Source organism: Homo sapiens, chromosome 17 (assembly GCF_000001405.40).
Source record: "Homo sapiens chromosome 17, GRCh38.p14 Primary Assembly".
NCBI lineage: Eukaryota > Metazoa > Chordata > Mammalia > Primates > Hominidae > Homo > Homo sapiens.
This window is the reverse complement of record NC_000017.11, coordinates 8,139,796-8,159,115: the sequence shown is the minus strand read 5'-3', so window position 1 is coordinate 8,159,115 and position 19,320 is coordinate 8,139,796. Positions and strand designations below refer to the sequence as shown.

At 58.2% G+C, this 19,320-nt stretch overlaps 1 protein-coding gene and 1 non-coding gene across 2 annotated transcripts, besides 11 other annotated features; both read left to right on the top strand.

Moving 5' to 3' along the window:
- Positions 61 to 110: a silencer, noted in NCBI's record as "silent region_8165". NCBI's record gives its function as "represses an Ori minimal core promoter by ATAC-STARR-seq in GM12878 lymphoblastoid cells {active_cell/tissue: GM12878}" and the evidence as "EXISTENCE:reporter gene assay evidence [ECO:0000049][PMID:35858748]".
- Positions 231 to 470: an enhancer, noted in NCBI's record as "active region_11669". NCBI's record gives its function as "activates an Ori minimal core promoter by ATAC-STARR-seq in GM12878 lymphoblastoid cells {active_cell/tissue: GM12878}" and the evidence as "EXISTENCE:reporter gene assay evidence [ECO:0000049][PMID:35858748]".
- Positions 2,021 to 2,080: an enhancer, noted in NCBI's record as "active region_11668". NCBI's record gives its function as "activates an Ori minimal core promoter by ATAC-STARR-seq in GM12878 lymphoblastoid cells {active_cell/tissue: GM12878}" and the evidence as "EXISTENCE:reporter gene assay evidence [ECO:0000049][PMID:35858748]".
- Positions 2,581 to 2,840: a silencer, noted in NCBI's record as "silent region_8164". NCBI's record gives its function as "represses an Ori minimal core promoter by ATAC-STARR-seq in GM12878 lymphoblastoid cells {active_cell/tissue: GM12878}" and the evidence as "EXISTENCE:reporter gene assay evidence [ECO:0000049][PMID:35858748]".
- Positions 4,059 to 4,839: an enhancer, noted in NCBI's record as "H3K27ac-H3K4me1 hESC enhancer chr17:8057595-8058375 (GRCh37/hg19 assembly coordinates)". NCBI's record gives its function as "activates a minimal SCP1, AML or CMV promoter by ChIP-STARR-seq in primed H9 embryonic stem cells {active_cell/tissue: H9 hESC(primed)}" and the evidence as "EXISTENCE:reporter gene assay evidence [ECO:0000049][PMID:30033119]".
- Positions 4,668 to 4,807: an enhancer, noted in NCBI's record as "active region_11667". NCBI's record gives its function as "activates an Ori minimal core promoter by ATAC-STARR-seq in GM12878 lymphoblastoid cells {active_cell/tissue: GM12878}" and the evidence as "EXISTENCE:reporter gene assay evidence [ECO:0000049][PMID:35858748]".
- Positions 6,471 to 6,765: an enhancer, noted in NCBI's record as "tiled region #8148; HepG2 Activating DNase unmatched - State 5:Enh, and K562 Activating DNase unmatched - State 1:Tss". NCBI's record gives its function as "activates a minimal TATA promoter and a strong SV40 promoter by Sharpr-MPRA in HepG2 and K562 cells {active_cell/tissue: HepG2 | K562}" and the evidence as "EXISTENCE:reporter gene assay evidence [ECO:0000049][PMID:27701403]".
- Positions 6,712 to 18,644, top strand: PER1 (period circadian regulator 1). Its single transcript, NM_002616.3, has 23 exons — positions 6,712 to 6,779; positions 8,271 to 8,684; positions 8,799 to 8,897; positions 8,991 to 9,145; positions 9,240 to 9,361; positions 9,453 to 9,654; positions 9,806 to 9,857; positions 10,330 to 10,472; positions 10,857 to 10,935; positions 11,013 to 11,119; positions 11,289 to 11,442; positions 11,538 to 11,646; positions 11,735 to 11,866; positions 12,114 to 12,219; positions 12,351 to 12,522; positions 12,614 to 12,744; positions 12,979 to 13,158; positions 14,123 to 14,365; positions 15,240 to 15,850; positions 16,281 to 16,467; positions 16,658 to 16,847; positions 17,161 to 17,311; positions 17,776 to 18,644. The coding sequence occupies exons 2-23, from the start codon at positions 8,410 to 8,412 to the stop codon at positions 18,046 to 18,048; spliced, it is 3,873 nt and encodes a 1,290-aa protein (NP_002607.2). The 5' UTR covers positions 6,712 to 6,779; positions 8,271 to 8,409; the 3' UTR covers positions 18,049 to 18,644.
- Positions 7,719 to 7,818: a silencer, noted in NCBI's record as "silent region_8163". NCBI's record gives its function as "represses an Ori minimal core promoter by ATAC-STARR-seq in GM12878 lymphoblastoid cells {active_cell/tissue: GM12878}" and the evidence as "EXISTENCE:reporter gene assay evidence [ECO:0000049][PMID:35858748]".
- Positions 7,979 to 8,088: an enhancer, noted in NCBI's record as "active region_11666". NCBI's record gives its function as "activates an Ori minimal core promoter by ATAC-STARR-seq in GM12878 lymphoblastoid cells {active_cell/tissue: GM12878}" and the evidence as "EXISTENCE:reporter gene assay evidence [ECO:0000049][PMID:35858748]".
- Positions 8,558 to 9,205: an enhancer, noted in NCBI's record as "H3K4me1 hESC enhancer chr17:8053229-8053876 (GRCh37/hg19 assembly coordinates)". NCBI's record gives its function as "activates a minimal SCP1, AML or CMV promoter by ChIP-STARR-seq in naive and primed H9 embryonic stem cells {active_cell/tissue: H9 hESC(naive and primed)}" and the evidence as "EXISTENCE:reporter gene assay evidence [ECO:0000049][PMID:30033119]".
- MIR6883 (microRNA 6883) lies at positions 14,045 to 14,122 on the top strand. The gene has a single exon (NR_106943.1). It is a non-coding gene; the product is annotated as a microRNA 6883 (primary transcript).
- Positions 18,549 to 19,227: an enhancer, noted in NCBI's record as "H3K27ac-H3K4me1 hESC enhancer chr17:8043207-8043885 (GRCh37/hg19 assembly coordinates)". NCBI's record gives its function as "activates a minimal SCP1, AML or CMV promoter by ChIP-STARR-seq in naive H9 embryonic stem cells {active_cell/tissue: H9 hESC(naive)}" and the evidence as "EXISTENCE:reporter gene assay evidence [ECO:0000049][PMID:30033119]".

The window sequence follows — 19,320 nt, the reverse complement described above, 5'->3', positions numbered from 1 at the left end:
TTTTTTTTTTGGTTGGGGGAGAATAAGATCTTTTCTTAACCAATGGGAATAATATTGGATCGGAAGGTATACCAGGAAGGTTGAGAAGATACATTGGTAATGGACTGGACTTTGCAAGAGGCCCTGACCTTGGGCAGGGCAAAGTGTGATTCTCAAAGTGGCCACAGGGGGGCACTAGGAGTTGGTAATGGGAAGTGTCATAGCCAGCCCGTGTCTCTAAGCCCGGTGCGCCCTGTGGTCTAGGGTTCCCAGCTTTCGTTTCCCTTTACTGGGGCATGTTCCTGCTGTTGGACTCCTTTCTACTCCTCGATTTAACTTCTAGACGCTCTGCCGTGGCTCCCGTGCAGCAGTAGATGAAGTAGTTGGCCATTTCTGTGAAGCATGTCTTCCCCTCTGTGCCTAACCCAGTGCCAGCGCCCAGATGGGGTTAGTAAATTGTGGTTTAAATAGGCTCACAGAGACAAAGCTGAGTATGTTGTGGAGCTGCCTGTAGATGGCCTACTACCCCTGTACTCTGTTGTATGACTTGTGACTTTAGACCCCACACTGAACTGCCACAGCCTGTAGGTCCAGGAGGCCCCGATGTGGCATCTTAGTATCCCTGTTCCCAGGTGCTTCAACAATGAGTGGCCGGCCGCGGTGGCTCACGCCAGTAATCCCAGCCCTTTGGGAGGCCGAGGTGGGCGGATCACGAGGTCAGGAGTTCAAGACCAGCCTGGCCAACACAGTGAAACCACATCTCTACTAAAAATACACACAAAAAATTAGCCGGGGATGGTGGCGGGCACCTGTAATCCCAGCTACTCGGGAGGCTGAGGCAGAGAATTGCTTGAACCTGGGAGGTGGAGGTTGCAGTGAGCCCAGATCACCCCACTGTGCTCCAGCCTGGGTGACAGAACGAGACTGTCTCAAAAAAAAAAAATCCACTTAACACGATGTTGAACAAATGAGAGTATATTTTAGGTAGAGTGTGGTGGCTCACGCCTGTAATCTTATCACTTTGGGAGGCTGAGGCAGGCAGATCATTTGAGGTCAGGAGTTCGAGACCAGCCTTGCCAACATGGTGAAACCTCACCTCTACTAAAAATACAAAAAACTAGGCGTGGTGGCATGCGCCTGTAATCCCAGCTACTTGGGAGGCTGAGGCAGGAGAATCGCCACCGCGCGCGGCCTTTTTTTGCTTTGAGACAGTCTCACTCTGTCACCCAGGCTGGAGTGCCTTGGTGCAATCTCGGCTCACGCAACCTCCGCCTCCTGGGTTTAAGCAATCCTTGTGCCTCAGCCTCCTGAGTAGCTGGGATTACAGGTACCCACCACCATGCCCGGCTAATTTTTGTAGGGATTTTTTTTTTTTTTTTTGAGACAGAGTCTTGCTCTGTCGCCCAGGCTGGAGTGCAGTGGTGCGATCTCGGCTCACTGCAAGTCCCGCCTCCCGGGTTCACGCCATTCTCCTGCAGTAGCTGGAACTACAGGCGCCCGCCACCTCGCCCGGCTAATTTTTTGTATTTTTAGTAGAGACGGGGTTTCACCGTGTTAGCCAGGATGGTCTTGATCTCCTGACCTCGTGATCAGCCCGCCTCAGCCTCCCAAAGTGCTGGGAATACAGGCGTTAGCCACCGCGCCCGGCCGTCGTTTTTTTTTTTTTTTTTTTTTTTTTTTAGAAGAGACAGGGTTTTACCATGTTGGCCAGGCTGGTCTCAAACTCGTGACCTCAAGTGATCCACCCACCTCAGCCTGCCAAAGTACTGGGGTTACAGGCGTGAGCCACCGTGATTCTTATAATTAGGTACACAATCATTACCAGAATGTCCAACTTGATTGAAGTCTTACTATATGCCAGGCAGTGCTCAGGATTTCGCACTGCCAACTCAAATTCCTTCCAGGTTTAAGAGTTCCCATGGGCCCCAGGACCCGCCTGCTTTATGGTGTCGGGGACTTGGGTTCAAGTTTTCGCCTTGTTACTGACTAGCGTGTTACAGGCGAACAGATTACGTAACCCCCCTGCATCTCGGTCTCATTTGTGAGGCGGGGGGAGTATGTGAGCTGGCCTCCTCAGAGTTTGTGAGAAGCGCCTGGCCTGGCCCGCAGAAAACAATCAGGAAGAGGCTCTCTTATTTTCATCGTCACCAAGACACCGTGCTGAGATCTGAAGACCGCTTCACCCTAATACTCTCACCTTCCAGCTTCAGGGAGCCTCGGTGGGACCCAGGGCCGGAACCCCAGCGCCAGAGGCGCCCTAGTCACGCCCGGGTCTCTGTACAAAGTGCGCCTTATACGCTGCCACCGCTCACGGCTGCGCCTGCGCAGATTTAGCAGCCGTGGTTAAGAGTGTCGTCAAGGAAAATCCCCAGCTTCTGGGTAAACAAGTTGCCGCGTGAGACCGCCGGCACGTGTACCCTACAGCTCCAAGACCTCTCAGCCTATGAGAAAGCTTGGAGAGCGGGACTGGCATTTACGTCACCAATCTTGGCAGGTCGGGGGTTATTTCCCCAGCCAATAAGAACCTCAGAAGTGTCGAGGGCGTGGCTTCCGGTCAGGCTTCCAATCCCCGCGTTGGGGCGGCCCCTCTCTCACGTGTATCTCTCCCGCCCCCGTTGGCCTGCTGACCAATGAGAAGACGATGGCGGCCGGAGGTGCCAATGGAGGCTGTGCGGGGGCCGGCGGCTGCACGCGGCACGGGGCATGGGTCGGCGCCCCTAAGCCAATAAGCGTGGGGGGCGTGGCAGCCCGGCCCGTGGGCGGGTTTGGAGGAGCCAGTGTAATGCTAGAAGTCCTAGAAGAAATTTGGAGTGTGCGTGCGCGCCGAGCGGTGAGTGCTCGGGGATGGGGGAGAGATGCGGGGCGATCGGTGTGGACTTTTCCGGGGTGGTGTGGTCGGTTAGGAAGGTGTTAGAGTGTGTGTGTGTGGGATCATGCAAATACGTGATAACTGCGGTGGGAGCTCTGATGGTTGTGGAGAATAGGGACCGTGAACTCAGGTCTAGAGGGACGGGGTGGGAGTTAGTGACATCAGATCCCTCGCCCCCGTGGAGTCCCTGGACACTTGACTGCCCGGGGGGAAGGGCTCGGAAGCCCTCTGCGACCTGAGGGAGCTCCCTCTCAGGTCGGGACTGAAGGAGCCCCTGCTCCCAGGGTGTTTGGGTGGTCTCCTTAAACACTTGAAAGAGGCAGAGGTTCGGAGGCCGGAGGGAGGCCCTGGTAGGGCAAGTCGGAGGGTACCAAAGGGTTGGCATGCTGATATGAGAAAGGATGGTGTTTTAATTTGTGAGACCCAGAGCTAGTCACATTACGGCTCCGGGCGTCTTTCTCATGTTAAGCGGAAGGGTTTAGGCCTCAGAGTCGTCCTTGAGAATAGACGTGGGGTAGCAACTATTGAGTCCTGAGAGGATAGGGTTGGGGTTTGGGCAGATTGGCTGTGCACGTCTTCCTGAGCCCCTAGAGGTGGGGAGGCACCAACAGGGTGTTTTGGTATCTGTCTGTACAAACAACCAGGCCAGGCGTCTGGTAAAGTTGGCCTGAGGTAAAGTAGAAAAGTGAGGAAGTGGGCTTCGTAGGAAATCATTGGGGCTGGTGGCTGCTTGGGTGATCTCAAGCACTTTGTGAGCCTGGGAAAACGGGCTATGATGTTAAGTGTGTGGGGAGTGCAAACAGTGGCTTCGGATCAGGCCTAAGGCAGAGAAAGGGGTTGGATGGAGTCTGTGTTCCTGGCACCAAACTTAGAATTGGCTGGATATTTGAGAGGCCAGGTTTGCCAGTGCTGGAATGCAGCTTACAGGTTGGTTAACACCTCACAGGTTCCTCAAGGGTAAGAAACCAGAATGACAAGCCATTATTAGAGTTCAGATTTTTGAATCCTGGGCTCCATTTGTTAAGAGCTTGAGACCATGTTATGAGGCACTGGACAAGTTTAGTAACTTCCGTGCCTTAGTTATCCCCCATGGAATGGGGATAATAATACCTATCTCACGGGGTTGTTCTGGGGATGAAATAAGATAATATAAAGTGCTTAGCATAATGCCTGGGTTATGGTGAGAGATTTATGTGAATGCTGTGGCTGGGAACTAGTCTCATATTCTCAAGTTTTTCTGCAAGTTTTGATGGCGTCCCATTTCTCTCTTCCTGGCTCTTTTGGTCTTCAGGCAGCAGTCCAAATTCCCTCATTCCTCCCTTCTAGCCCTCTCCCAGGATCCAGGCCCTAGACTGGGCCACTTGCTCTGTCCCAGTTTGATTTTTTCATCCTAGGCCCCTTCTCCTCCCTGTCCGCGCCCCTCTCCCTTTCCCCCCGCCCGCTGTCATAATAAGAGATTCAGGCTCTGAAGGGGCTTCTGGAAGGTAGCAAAGGTGCGTCGTGTTCTCTCCCAGAGACAGGACCTCCAACTTCTCCGCCCTGGGTCTTTGGTACCAGGCCAGCAGATGTGTACAGTTTGGGAGAGAGGAAAAGCCAGAGCTGCAGGAACAAGCTGAGGAGCGGGCAGATGGGAGTCCTGAAAAGAGAGCCAGGCGTGGTGGGGGGAGGTGTGGGGAGGGGGCCCCCTTCCTACTAATCCTCTCTCCAGGAATCCCTGGCTTTGGGACAGGACGGCTGTCGTTTTGTTGGGGGAGGCGCCCAGGCTGGGTGCATGTCCTGGGCCACCAGCCAAGAGAACATGATGTTCCCAAGTGCGCTGGCCGCCGCCCTCTCGGGCTGGCCGCCTCCCAAACCGCTGCCTCTCCAGTCTCTCCAGCCTCCCTGCCCCACATTCCGAGGCAGCTTCGCCCCGCCCCCTTCTTCCGCTTTGACGTCACTGCTGTCTCCCGCCCCCTCGCCTCCATTGACGGCAGCAGGGCCTGGTTACTGTGGGGACGGTGAAGCAGGACAACAAGAGTCTTGGGAGCAAGCGGGGGCTGCTGGAGGGCTGGAGCCTTTTGTCTATGCAAAAGACAGGGAGATGGAGGCGGGAGATCAAGGACTGCCTGGGTTAGGGGAGATCACACCTAAATCCCTGAAGGGGGAGAAAAACCATGTTTCCAGGGAAGAGGTATCTGCAAACGAGATAAGGCCAAAGCCACAGTATGAGTTGGGGTGGAGAGGATCATTTTCAGGGAGAGGAGACTGAGAATCCAAGCTCCTGAATCTTTTTTTTTTTTTTTAATAGAGACGGGGTTTCTCCATGTTGGTCAGGCTGGTCTCGAACTCGCTACCTCAGGTGATCCGCCTGCCTGGGCCTCCCAAAGTGCTGGGATTACAGGCCACCGCGCCCGGCCTCCAGGCTCCTGAATCTTTTGTTTTCCTGTTTCGATTTTTCTGGGTTAATTTATAACACGATCTTGTCTCAGCTTTTCCACAGAGCCCTCCCCTTCACCCTTCCCTCATTGTTCAGGAAAGCTTAGGCCACGTGACAGTGAGGGGAGTGCCCCCACAATGATTATGTCAGCAGCTGCTTGGAGGCCTGTTCATCTACTACCCACGTTTCCAGGGAGCCCTGCGAGGAACTACTCATCACGGTCCTGGATGGAGGGGGCTGTGTAACTGCAGCTCTCCTGAGCCCAGACTAACATTTTATTGCCTGCAAATCGTGCCCCTGTTCTCTTTCTAGGACTACTCATCTCTTTTAGAGAATCAGAATTCCCAGCCCCCTTTCTCCTGTTGACACTCTTTTCCCACCTCCCCAACCTATCCTTGTTTAAAAAAAAAAAAATCATGTTTATCGATCACTTGCCATGTGTCAGGTCCTGTCCTGGGCTCTGGAGACTACAGTGAATGAGACAGATGACGTTCCGTCTGGGCCCCTGGAGTTTGGCTTTCTCTTTTCCAAGCAGTGGAAATATGAAGCCCTTGCCACCCCACATTTCTCTGTCTAGGGCCCCAGCTGGCCTCTTCTCTGGGCCATCCCCTTGGTCCCTCTGTAGTCCTGGCTTCCTGGCCCCCACTTTTGGGGCAGCTTTAACTGTGGGTGGCTGCGTCCTCTGGAGGAAAGTACTAGACACCACGTAGGCTGCCCGGAGACCTTGTCTCTGAGTGGCCATAGAAGCACCTGCCATTGTTTCCCTTCACAGCCACTATTGGCTCTGGTTGCCCCTTCCATTGTCCGCATCCTTCCTCCACCCACTCACCCACCGGTCACACGTGGACCCTTAACTGTCCTCTCCCAGGATTTGAAGTGTCAGAGGAAGTGCTTCGGTTAAAGGGCTTCATTATGTAGAACGAAGGTTGGGAGGGAACAAGGTTGGGAAAGGAACCCAGGAGAGGCCCAGGCAGGTTTCTGTCTCTCCCCTCCTCTCAAGGACCACCCATCTCATCCAGCGTGGCCTAACTTGCAGCGCCATTCCTTTTCCTCACCCTTGGAAAGGCGAAGATGCCAAGATGTTGTGTTCTGCAAGGCTAGTGCGTTCAGGAAGTAGACAAGTCTTGAGCACCTACCCCGGGCCGGGCTTTTTCCCTAAAGAGGCGCAGCGTATCTCCCTCTCTCCTCCCTTCCATTATTCAATGTGCAAGCGTCCTGCGCCCATTGGCTGGGCGGTGTCTGGGGCTCTTCAGCCCAGCACCAGCACCCAGGTCCACGTGCGCCCGTGTGTGTGACACAGCCCTGACCTTAGTGGAGACCACTAGCCAATCAGGCGCCGGGAAGAGATCCCCAGCCAATCGGGGGCGGGGCCTGCGGCTCCGTCGGCAAGAGGCCAATGAGGGGGCAGTGCCCGGCATTATGCAACCCGCCTCCCCGCCCGCCCGGTGGAGCTTCCACTCGGCTGCGGGCTGGAGCGGCGGCGGGCAGGCGTGCGGAGGACACTCCTGCGACCAGGTAGGCATCTCTGCGGCCATCCTGGGGCCGATCTCCGTCCCTGAGCCGGACCGCTGCCACTTCCAATCTGATGGGCTACTTTCGGCCCAGGCAGAGGGCACACTGTCGTCCTTACCGCTACCCACCCTCTCCCTGCCCCCAAGGACCGAAGTCCTCCTCGAAATCTTGCACCGGGAGTCTGCACTCCTGACCCACTCATCTTACCTCCAGCTTGTCCCCACCTCCCCGTCCCAGCTTTCCCGGCCCCACAGCCGACTCTCAGCGGGCATGCCCCGGTCTTCTTGCTCGTTACTCGAGGGGCCCCAGGTTTGCCCCGGTACCAGGACCCTATTAGGCTTTCAGCGCTCCCCGTGTCTCTGTTCTCCAGTCCCTGGCCCTGCGCCGCCTGTGATGTCAGCCCACTTCGGACTAGAACATCCCGTTCCCAGCGCTGGTTCCTGCTGTTGGCCACAACCTTCCCTTTTCCCCTGGCGCTCAGAAAATGCTCAGTAGTAGGGGTGTGGTTGGACGGGGAGTAGGGGAAGAAAGATCTGTTGGCTGTTGTGTGTCTTCTGCCCAAGGCTTGGGGTTGGTGGGGGGGTCTGGCCAGAAAAGTAGGGGACTGAAGAGAGAGGATCCTCGGGTCCTTGACGATGGCAGGTTGCCGGCTTCGGTCCTTGTGGTGGGGAAGCAGCGCAGGGGCTAAAGAAGGAAAGGTTGTGTTGTCTTGACCAGAATGACTGGGATCCAGGCGAGAGTCAGGTTGAGGGGCTTTTGCGCCGAGGGCAGTGGCCGTTGTGCTTCGTCCTGGGGAAGCCAGGACCAACCCTGGGATCCTAATAGGCCGTCCCACTTCTTACGGCCACCGAGCCATCCTGGGACTGGGGATATGTAAGGGATGCGTGACCCCCCCGGCCGCGCCCACCAGTGTGAGAGTGGGCCGTTCCCCCACTTCCGCCGGGAAATGGGGGAGGGGTCGCTCCTCCCGCCCTCCTGTGGTCCCTCCAGCAACCGCTGAGCTCAGCAGCTGACGTCGGTTTCCCTGGCGACCGTGGCGGCGGCGGAAGCGCGTGGTGGGGCCGCGCACGTCGGCGCGCATGTGCAGCGGGGGTGGCACCGCCCCCGGATAAAATTAGCCTGGAGGCCTAAATATAGGAGGCGACCAGCTCACCTCCTGCTCCGAGGCCTTGGAGGCCCAGGCAGAGTGGACACCTAATGGGAACTTGGGAATGGGAAGTGTCCAGGTTTTTGTCTACAGCCGTGGTTCTCATTGACTGCTCAGGCCATGGTGGCAGGGGATGTGAAGGAAGGCCCCGGAGAACCTTCTCCCGCTGGCAGTCCCCCTAAGGGTACAGGAGACATCCTGACTCCCCATTGGAAGCCCCAGGCCTGGGTTCCACTCCCATCAGTCCTGCAGGAGGCCAGGCAGGGGGAAGGTCTGAGTGAAGCCAGCAGGTGCTCTGGAGTTAAACCAGCTTTCTGCAAGCCCTGCTTCCTGGTCTCCCTCTCCAGGTACTGGCTGTGATCGAACTTCTCAACCCTCAGAGACTTAGATCTTCCACCTCACTCCCTCAGCCAAGCCTCCAGGCCCCCTCGTGCATCCGTGGTGGCCTCTCTGCCTTCTCTGTTCTGTTCTCCCCATGGCCCAGACATGAGTGGCCCCCTAGAAGGGGCTGATGGGGGAGGGGACCCCAGGCCTGGGGAATCATTTTGTCCTGGGGGCGTCCCATCCCCTGGGCCCCCACAGCACCGGCCTTGCCCAGGCCCCAGCCTGGCCGATGACACCGATGCCAACAGCAATGGTTCAAGTGGCAATGAGTCCAACGGGCATGAGTCTAGAGGCGCATCTCAGCGGAGCTCACACAGCTCCTCCTCAGGCAACGGCAAGGACTCAGCCCTGCTGGAGACCACTGAGAGCAGCAAGAGGTGTGTATGGATGTGTATGTTGGGTCTAGGAATGGTCTTGTGAGCAGGCAGAGCTGGGTGACAGGCCTCGCACTGCTGGCCCTACCTGTAACTGGGCCTGTTGCTGTCTCCTAGCACAAACTCTCAGAGCCCATCCCCACCCAGCAGTTCCATTGCCTACAGCCTCCTGAGTGCCAGCTCAGAGCAGGACAACCCGTCCACCAGTGGCTGCAGGTACGTCGGGTGAGGCTGGAGGAGAGGTCTGGGGGCCCAGGCCACACTCTGGGACTAATGTCTTTATCTCTTTCTTCCCTGTGGGCCCCGCAGCAGTGAACAGTCAGCCCGGGCAAGGACTCAGAAGGAACTCATGACAGCACTTCGAGAGCTCAAGCTTCGACTGCCGCCAGAGCGCCGGGGCAAGGGCCGCTCTGGGACCCTGGCCACGCTGCAGTACGCACTGGCCTGTGTCAAGCAGGTGCAGGGTAAGTGGTGTGTCCCAAGAGGGAATGGCCTGGGCCTGGGCTCCCGTGTTGAGGCAGCCTCCTTACTGAATGCCTCACTGCCTCCACTCTGCAGCCAACCAGGAATACTACCAGCAGTGGAGCCTGGAGGAGGGCGAGCCTTGCTCCATGGACATGTCCACCTATACCCTGGAGGAGCTGGAGCACATCACGTCTGAGTACACACTTCAGAACCAGGTCAGCGGCGGCCTGGCCTCTGCATCCCGACGCACCCCTACTCCTTCTCCCACAGCTCTTGAATCTGCTCTTGCTCTCCCCCTCCTGCCAGGATACCTTCTCAGTGGCTGTCTCCTTCCTGACGGGCCGAATCGTCTACATTTCGGAGCAGGCAGCCGTCCTGCTGCGTTGCAAGCGGGACGTGTTCCGGGGTACCCGCTTCTCTGAGCTCCTGGCTCCCCAGGATGTGGGAGTCTTCTATGGTTCCACTGCTCCATCTCGCCTGCCCACCTGGGGCACAGGGGCCTCAGCAGGTGAGGTGCCCAAGCGCTGTGGGGAGGCATGAGCAGTCCCAGGAAATTCCTGCTGTGAGGGGCCGGGGAACCCAGACTTTCCCTTAGTGGATTCTTCGCAGCCTAGGGAAGGGGCAGGAAGCTGTGCTCACTCCTCTCCTGTCTGTCCCAGGTTCAGGCCTCAGGGACTTTACCCAGGAGAAGTCCGTCTTCTGCCGTATCAGGTAGGTGAGGGGAACTGGAGAAGACCTCTGCCTCCTTTTTTTTTTGTTTTTGTTTTTGTTTTTGCTTTTTGAAAGGGAGTCTCACTCTGTCACCCAGGCTGGACTGCGGTGGCACGATCTCGGCTCACTGCAACCTCCGCCTCCCAGGTTCAAGCGATTCTCCTGCCTCAGCCTCCCAAGTAGCTGGGATTACAGGCATGCGCCACCACGCCCAGCTAATTTTTGTATTTTCAGTAGAGACGGGGTTTCACCATGTTGGCCAGGCTGGTCTCGAACTCCTGACCTCAGGTGATCCGCCTGCCTTGGCCTCCCAAAGTGCTGGGATTAAAGGCGTGAGCCACCGTGCCCGGCCTACCTCTGCCTCCTCCTGCCCCCTCCCCAGCGTCTTTGCTGTTGTCTGCTGTGACCTTATTGTTGGAGGAGTGGGTGGCTCTCTGTTGAAAGTCCCTAATGCTCCTCTCTCCTTTGCTAGAGGAGGTCCTGACCGGGATCCAGGGCCTCGGTACCAGCCATTCCGCCTAACCCCGTATGTGACCAAGATCCGGGTCTCAGATGGGGCCCCTGCACAGCCGTGCTGCCTGCTGATTGCAGAGCGCATCCATTCGGGTTACGAAGGTGGGCAGGTCAGGGCCCTGGCCTGGTGGGGGCTGGGAGGAAGGACATTTCCTCATGGCCAGACATGAATTTGGGAGGCATGAACCACACCCTTTGAATTTTGGAACAAGAAAAGCTATTGTAAAGATGAGGATTTGAGCTCCTCTTAGAGGTAGAGTTGAATAAGGTGCCCAAGCTAGAGGAGGGCAGAGAAGAATGCCTTGCTTGCTCTCAGTCATGTTACTGATACAGGGCATAGGATTGGCCCAGACCATCTTTGGGCCCATAGTGCCCGGGGCAGAGCTGTGTGGCAGATCATCAGCCAGCCTGGGCCCAGGCAGAGTGGAGGGCTGAGGAGTTGGGCATTCTGGACGAAACCCAGTGACCACACTCTCTGTGCCTCAGCTCCCCGGATACCCCCTGACAAGAGGATTTTCACTACGCGGCACACACCCAGCTGCCTCTTCCAGGATGTGGATGAAAGGTGAGGATAGGACCTAGAGGAGACGAGGGCAGCCAGGGCTGAGGCCACGGCCACTCTGATGCCTCCTTCCCGTTCAGGGCTGCCCCCCTGCTGGGCTACCTGCCCCAGGACCTCCTGGGGGCCCCAGTGCTCCTGTTCCTGCATCCTGAGGACCGACCCCTCATGCTGGCTATCCACAAGAAGAGTGAGTTCCTCTCGCCCTGCTCGCCCTTCCCACTGTCCTGGGCTTTTGAGTGGCTGCCCTTGTGGTTGTGTCTCTTGGTGCCTTGGTCTCCTGGATCTCTAGTGGCATGGCCTCCCTCTTACTCAGCTCTCCCTCCCTTTGACCGCTCCTCCTTTCCCACTTCCATCAGTTCTGCAGTTGGCGGGCCAGCCCTTTGACCACTCCCCTATCCGCTTCTGTGCCCGCAACGGGGAGTATGTCACCATGGACACCAGCTGGGCTGGCTTTGTGCACCCCTGGAGCCGCAAGGTAGCCTTCGTGTTGGGCCGCCACAAAGTACGCACGTAAGTGGGCCATGCCCCCGAGCTGGCGTTGGGGATAGGGCAGTGCGGTGGGGGACAGGACCGGGCCAGGGCTGGATTCACTCTTCACTCTACAGGGCCCCCCTGAATGAGGACGTGTTCACTCCCCCGGCCCCCAGCCCAGCTCCCTCCCTGGACACTGATATCCAGGAGCTGTCAGAGCAGATCCACCGGCTGCTGCTGCAGGTGAGAGTAGCGGAGAGGGAGCCTGGGAGGTGAGAAAAGGTGTGGGAAGCCGGGTCAAGCCATCTAACCTGCCCTCTCCCTGCTGCAGCCCGTCCACAGCCCCAGCCCCACGGGACTCTGTGGAGTCGGCGCCGTGACATCCCCAGGCCCTCTCCACAGCCCTGGGTCCTCCAGTGATAGCAACGGGGGTGATGCAGAGGGGCCTGGGCCTCCTGCGCCAGTGAGTGACCTGCTCCTACCTCACCCTCTAATCGCCCTTTCCCCTCTCCTTCTTGGAACCAGCACTGCCAGTCCCAGAGTCTTGCCCGATCCTCCTTTGCCCTCTCCTTCCTGCCTTTTCCTTCTTGTCCTGCTCCCATCAAGGCGTCTGTGCCTCCCCACTGGTACCTTCTTGTTTTATTGTGCCCTTGGCCCCTGACACTGGCGACACCCCCTGGTTCTGCTCACTGTGGTGCTGTGTCCCACAGGTGACTTTCCAGCAGATCTGTAAGGATGTGCATCTGGTGAAGCACCAGGGCCAGCAGCTTTTTATTGAGTCTCGGGCCCGGCCTCAGTCCCGGCCCCGCCTCCCTGGTGAGTTGATGATGATGTGTGGGTGAAGAGACAGACCTGGGGGGTCCCCTGACCTTCACCCCCAACCCATTTGCTGTTTTTTTCCATGTGAGCTTGAGAAGGCTATTTTCCTCTTTCTCTCTTTGCCCCAGCTACAGGCACGTTCAAGGCCAAGGCCCTTCCCTGCCAATCCCCAGACCCAGAGCTGGAGGCGGGTTCTGCTCCCGTCCAGGCCCCACTAGCCTTGGTCCCTGAGGAGGCCGAGAGGAAAGAAGCCTCCAGCTGCTCCTACCAGCAGATCAACTGCCTGGACAGCATCCTCAGGTAAGGCCTGCCAGGCATCTTCTCCACCTCGGGCTCTAACCCTGCCCACCCCAAGCCCTGCTCTGATGCCCTGTGCTGTGTCCATCCCCAGGTACCTGGAGAGCTGCAACCTCCCCAGCACCACTAAGCGTAAATGTGCCTCCTCCTCCTCCTATACCACCTCCTCAGCCTCTGACGACGACAGGCAGAGGACAGGTCCAGTCTCTGTGGGGACCAAGAAAGGTAAAGATCCAATGCACCCTGCTCCCACTGCCCCGTCCTGGCCTGGTGGCCCTGTGTCTTTTCCCTTCTGCTTCTGGGCCCTCTTGCTCTGCCCTGCTCTCCTCCCCAGCCTCCTGGTCTCCAGACTGTTCCCTCTGTTCCCTACCACCATCCCCTTCCCCTTTTCCCTGGGATCCTCTCTCCTGACTTCCCAGTGGGGGTGGGGATGGTAACTGGCACCATCTCTCTGCACAGATCCGCCGTCAGCAGCGCTGTCTGGGGAGGGGGCCACCCCACGGAAGGAGCCAGTGGTGGGAGGCACCCTGAGCCCGCTCGCCCTGGCCAATAAGGCGGAGAGTGTGGTGTCCGTCACCAGTCAGTGTAGCTTCAGCTCCACCATCGTCCATGTGGGAGACAAGAAGCCCCCGGAGTCGGGTATGGGTGTGGAATTGGGGGGCAGTGCTTGGGCTCCACCGGTCTCCCAGCTAGAGCTCCCTCCTGCCTTTCCCCTCCCCTCTAGGGCCTGATGGAGAGAAGGAGGCCTCCCTTGACCTGGGGCTTGGGGCTACTGCTTCTTGCTCTCCCCTCCCTGCCAGGCTTCTCGGCTTTGCCCTTCCCCTGTTCTGCTTCTCGTATTGTTACTGTCAGTTGAAACACAGAGTCTGGGATAGAGGGTTTGCCCTGAGGTGCTGACCACACAGGGTCTGAAGGCAAGGAAAATTGAACATCCCTGAAGGGTCTTTGGATATTGACCTTGAAAATCATGAGGGGCTGGGCATGGTGGCTCAGGCCTGTAATCCCAGCATTTTGGGAGGCTGAGGTAGGAGGATCACCTGAGATCAGGAGCTCGAGATCAGCCTGGGCAACATGGTGAAACCCTGTATCTACTAAAAATGCAAAAATTAGCCGGGCGTGGTGGCGCGCGCCTGTAGTCCCAGCTACTCGGGAGGCTGGGACAGGAGAATCGCTTGAACCCAGGGGGTGGTGGTTGCAGTGAGCTGAGATCGCACCACTGCACTCCAGCTTGGGAGAAAGAGTGAGACTCCATGTCAAAAAAAAAAAAAAAAAGAAACAAGAAAATGTGTGAGGGAAGGCCAAGGGGTGGGCTTCTCTTCCAATGAGAGTTGTGACGGGGTCATCCCAGTAGAGTTCCTGGCAGGGAGTGGCCACTGGAGGGGCCTGAGTATCGTCTCTTCTTCTGGGCCAGCTTTGCATGGAGAGGAGGACCCAGGGCCAGCCGTTGGCAGAGAGGTGACCAAGAAACGTACATGGAGACCAGGCTTGGCTGTGGGGCAGAGCTGCCAGGGGTTGGCTAGGCTATCAGACAGGGAGGGTGTGGTATGGATGTGTTGACCCCTGAAGTGGTTCTGATGACCTTTCCCTATCTCACTCTCCTCAGACATCATCATGATGGAGGACCTGCCTGGCCTAGCCCCAGGCCCAGCCCCCAGCCCAGCCCCCAGCCCCACAGTAGCCCCTGACCCAGCCCCAGACGCCTACCGTCCAGTGGGGCTGACCAAGGCCGTGCTGTCCCTGCACACACAGAAGGAAGAGCAAGCCTTCCTCAGCCGCTTCCGAGACCTGGGCAGGCTGCGTGGACTCGACAGCTCTTCCACAGCTCCCTCAGCCCTTGGCGAGCGAGGTAGCCACCTGGGGCCTCCTGGAGCCTGCCCTCTGCCCAGTCTAGGACTGGATTGTTGGGGGGTGGGTCTTAAGGGAGGTGTTTCTGCTCCAGGGACCCAGGCTGGTGTTGCTTCCACCACTAGGCCCTGCCTAGGGACAGGCCCCTCGCTAGCTTCTCCCCACTAGGATGGGGTTCCGGGCTGCAGCCAGAGGAGGGCAGCCTGGGGGGATGGCACTGGGATGGGCAGGCAGAGGTGCTGTCTCCAGGTAAGCGACTTCAGGCCTAGCCTGGGGGCAGGGGCAGGAAGTATGCCCACTTAGGAGTCAGTTGTCACTGATGAAGAGACATGCATAGATTCTGGGCCAACTCTGGGTGGGGTCTGGGCTTCAAGGGCAGGTGGAAGGCAGCCCCTCCAGGTGCCTGAGGGAGATCCCCTGCAGGCAGACGCAGGACTCAGGACTGGGCTTTCCAGCCCCACTCTTCACTCCATTGCAAGCTAGGCAGAATACGGCCTCGATGGGCAGGAGGAATGCCTAGGCTGGCAGTGCCCACAGGAGTTTGGCGGACCAGAGCCATCTGTCCATGTGTCCATGGACTCACCCTGCTTCCTCCATCTGCCAGCATGCCTCCATCTTCCGCACACCCCCAGCTCGACCCCTCGTGTAACCTCTCCCTGGCCTTGTTCCTTTCTCAATAAATCCCCTTGTCCCTGGCTCCTGTGATTCTTCCCTGAAGGTGCCCCACCTCCTGAGTCCCCCGTTCTGTGTGGGTTGAGAAGCTCTCTCTGGGACCTTGGCCTGTCCTCTCCCTGGTCAGCGTGTCAGGGCAGTGTGGGTAGCAGGGGTACTAACCCCAGGTTGAGGTCCTTGCTAACCCTAGTCTCTCCCCACAGGCTGCCACCACGGCCCCGCACCCCCAAGCCGCCGACACCACTGCCGATCCAAAGCCAAGCGCTCACGCCACCACCAGAACCCTCGGGCTGAAGCGCCCTGCTATGTCTCACACCCCTCACCCGTGCCACCCTCCACCCCCTGGCCCACCCCACCAGCCACTACCCCCTTCCCAGCGGTTGTCCAGCCCTACCCTCTCCCAGTGTTCTCTCCTCGAGGAGGCCCCCAGCCTCTTCCCCCTGCTCCCACATCTGTGCCCCCAGCTGCTTTCCCCGCCCCTTTGGTGACCCCAATGGTGGCCTTGGTGCTCCCTAACTATCTGTTCCCAACCCCATCCAGCTATCCTTATGGGGCACTCCAGACCCCTGCTGAAGGGCCTCCCACTCCTGCCTCGCACTCCCCTTCTCCATCCTTGCCCGCCCTCGCCCCGAGTCCTCCTCACCGCCCGGACTCTCCACTGTTCAACTCGAGATGCAGCTCTCCACTCCAGCTCAATCTGCTGCAGCTGGAGGAGCTCCCCCGTGCTGAGGGGGCTGCTGTTGCAGGAGGCCCTGGGAGCAGTGCCGGGCCCCCACCTCCCAGTGCGGAGGCTGCTGAGCCAGAGGCCAGACTGGTGAGCACTGACCCCTGCGTCTGCCTGCCAGCCCCCACCCCAGCCCCGCCCCTCTGCCACCCTGTGCTGCCTGCTGTCTCTGCCAGGCTGGCGTCTCAGCCTCCAGGAGGTGGAGGGAGTCCCCAGCTGAATTTCTGAATGAGGCAGAAATTGGCTACCTCCTCTTTGAAGGGACAGTCCTGTCTGTCTGACAGGTGGTGAGGACATCTCAATAACTTCTGAGAGAGCATCTGTCACTTGGAAAGGGTCTGGCCTCACATCCCCACTCTTCGCCAGCTTTCTTCTCTCTCAGCCTGGCCCTACTGTCACGAAGTGGGGAGCAGAGACCACTGGGGTTGGATGTGCCTCTCCCCACAACCAGTAAGAGCAGTTGAAGGGAGGCCTAGGTGCTGACCCCTCCATCCCTCCTTGCCCCCCTCCCCTCCTCCAGGCGGAGGTCACTGAGTCCTCCAATCAGGACGCACTTTCCGGCTCCAGTGACCTGCTCGAACTTCTGCTGCAAGAGGACTCGCGCTCCGGCACAGGCTCCGCAGCCTCGGGCTCCTTGGGCTCTGGCTTGGGCTCTGGGTCTGGTTCAGGCTCCCATGAAGGGGGCAGCACCTCAGCCAGCATCACTCGTGAGTACCCCGCCTCCAGCATCTCCCAGGGTAGGGCAGTGATTGGGGAGCCGGGAGCCCAGGCCCCGTCTTGGCGGAGCTTCCTAAGGCCACTGGGATGGACATGTGGCCTTTGAGGGAGGCCTTGTGAGGTCCCAGGAGTGGGCATGCAGCCGGCCTGACTCCCATTGGTCTGCCCCCCACTTCACAGGCAGCAGCCAGAGCAGCCACACAAGCAAATACTTTGGCAGCATCGACTCTTCCGAGGCTGAGGCTGGGGCTGCTCGGGGCGGGGCTGAGCCTGGGGACCAGGTGATTAAGTACGTGCTCCAGGATCCCATTTGGCTGCTCATGGCCAATGCTGACCAGCGCGTCATGATGACCTACCAGGTGCCCTCCAGGTGAGGCATTTCAGAGGCCTTCTTGGCCTTCCTTTCAGAGGTAGTAGTGGGGGCAGTTTTCTTTTCTGGGGCTGGCTCTGCCCTGGATAGGATAAACGTTTCTATCTTTCTTCCTGCTCCTTGGAGCCCTGTTACTAGTTCCTCCCAGGAGGAGAGCAGGTTTCCTGGTCTTGGAAGCCTTGACCTCGCATAGCACTAGTTTAGGGGAGGAGCATGAGGTGGGAAGCTGTGGTAGAGGAAGGATGCCAGCTTCATGGGTCCTGGTCCGGGTCCTGGATCCCAGCCTCTGCCTTCTGAACCCCTTCTTGGGCAGGGACATGACCTCTGTGCTGAAGCAGGATCGGGAGCGGCTCCGAGCCATGCAGAAGCAGCAGCCTCGGTTTTCTGAGGACCAGCGGCGGGAACTGGGTGCTGTGCACTCCTGGGTCCGGAAGGGCCAACTGCCTCGGGCTCTTGATGTGATGGTGAGAGAAGCCTGGGACGGGGAGAAAAAAGAATTGAGCTCAAGTTCAAGGGGGAGAAAAAAGAATTGAGCTCAAGTTCAAGGGGGAGAAAAAAGAATTGAGCTCAAGTTCAAGGGATCGAGGCCAAGAGCTGATCTCCTTGATGTCCTTGGATCATTAATTCTGAAGAATGTTGATTCCACTAAATTTGCTGTGGATTATAGAATATTAAGCCGCGTGAGTCTTTGCAGAACTTTTCACAGCCTATCCTATGCTAATATGCATTGTGACTGTCCTGTAACGGCATCTGGGTAGAGGGCACAAGGCACTGTCCAACCTTGTTGGACCGCAGGTGCATCTGTGTGGACTGGTGCTTCTTGGGAGTACATTTCGGGAAGCACAGTGGGCTGGGGGTGGGAAGCTGCGCTGGCAGGTTAGCAGTGAGAACCCTGTCTGACTCTCTCATGTCCATTTCTCTCACCAAGGCCTGTGTGGACTGTGGGAGCAGCACCCAAGATCCTGGTCACCCTGATGACCCACTCTTCTCAGAGCTGGATGGACTGGGGCTGGAGCCCATGGAAGAGGGTGGAGGCGAGCAGGGCAGCAGCGGTGGCGGCAGTGGTGAGGGAGAGGGCTGCGAGGAGGCCCAAGGCGGGGCCAAGGCTTCAAGCTCTCAGGACTTGGCTATGGAGGAGGAGGAAGAAGGCAGGAGCTCATCCAGTCCAGCCTTACCTACAGCAGGAAACTGCACCAGCTAGACTCCATTCTGGGACCATCTCCAGGAGTCCATGAGAGGCTTTCTTCTCCTATGTCCCAATTCTCAGAACTCAGATGTGGCTAGACCAACCAGTGGGAAACTGCCCCAGCTTCTCCCACCATAGGGGGCCGGACCCCCATCACCAGCCTAGGATCCAGGGGCTGCCTCTGGCCTCTTAGGGAGCAGAGAGCAGAACTCCGCAGCCCAGCCCAGAGGAGTGTCACCTCCCACCTTTGGAGAGGAATCCTTCCCTCCCCTGGACAAAGTTGCTGACAAGCTGCTGAAGTGGCCTCTCCATATTCCAGCTGAGCCTGAATCTGACTCTTGAGGGTTGGGGCTGCACTTATTTATTGCGGGGAGACAGCTCTCTCTCCCACCTCCTCCCCAGATGGGAGGAGAGCCTGAGGCCCAAGCAGGACCCGGGGGTTCCAGCCCCTAGCTGCTCTGGAGTGGGGGAGGTTGGTGGACCATGGAGTCCCTGGTGCTGCCCCTCAGGTGGGACCCAGGCGTTCTCAGCTGTACCCTCTGCCGATGGCATTTGTGTTTTTGATATTTGTGTCTGTTACTACTTTTTTAATACAAAAAGATAAAAACGCCCAGGACTTTGTGGAATGAAGTTTGGGGTTGGGGTGAGGGGAGCATGTCAAGGGGAGATGTGGCCCTGCTTTTGGGAAGGTTGTAGTGAGGGTGTACAGGGCCATCTCCTGACGACCCCCATTCCTCTTTTCCCCCATCCTGTCCAGGTGAGGGCCCTGCTGAGCCCGCTACGTCCACGTCCAGCTCAGACTCTGCTGTCCCCTCTAGCATGGCCTCAGCTGGGTTTGCCCTGGGAAGGAGAGCTGAGAGGTGCGTGTGGCCAAGGGCTTGGGTAAGCTCCAGCCCGGGTCACGGGTGGCCAAGGCAGAGGAACCCTGCTTAACTCCGTGGTGCCCTGAGGTATTCGAGGGTGTTTGTCTTCCTTGGCTTCCTTTTTTTTATTTGAGACGGAATTTCGCTCTGTCACCCAGCTGGAGTGCAATGGTGCAATCTCGGCTCGCTGCAACGTCTGCCTCCCGGGTTCAAGCGATTCTCCTGCCTCAGCCTCCCGAGTAGCTGGGATTATAGGTGCCCACCACCGCGCCCGGCTAATTTTGTATTTTTAGTAGCGATGGGGTTTCACCATTTTTGGTCAGGCTGGTCGCGGACTCCTGACCTTAGGTGATCTGCCCGCCTTGGCCTCCCAAAGTGCTGGGATTACAGGCGTGAGCCACCGCGCCCGGCCTTCCTTGGCTTC

Excerpts from the sequence above, each read along its gene's own strand:
- PER1 (NM_002616.3), top strand. The coding sequence starts at position 8,410 with ATGAGTGGCCCCCTAGAAGGGGCTGATGGGGGAGGGGACCCCAGGCCT. Across the intron at positions 10,936-11,012 it reads TTCCAGGATGTGGATGAAAG|GGCTGCCCCCCTGCTGGGCT; the intron begins GTGAGGATAGGA and ends CTTCCCGTTCAG. Across the intron at positions 16,848-17,160 it reads ACCTACCAGGTGCCCTCCAG|GGACATGACCTCTGTGCTGA; the intron begins GTGAGGCATTTC and ends CTTCTTGGGCAG.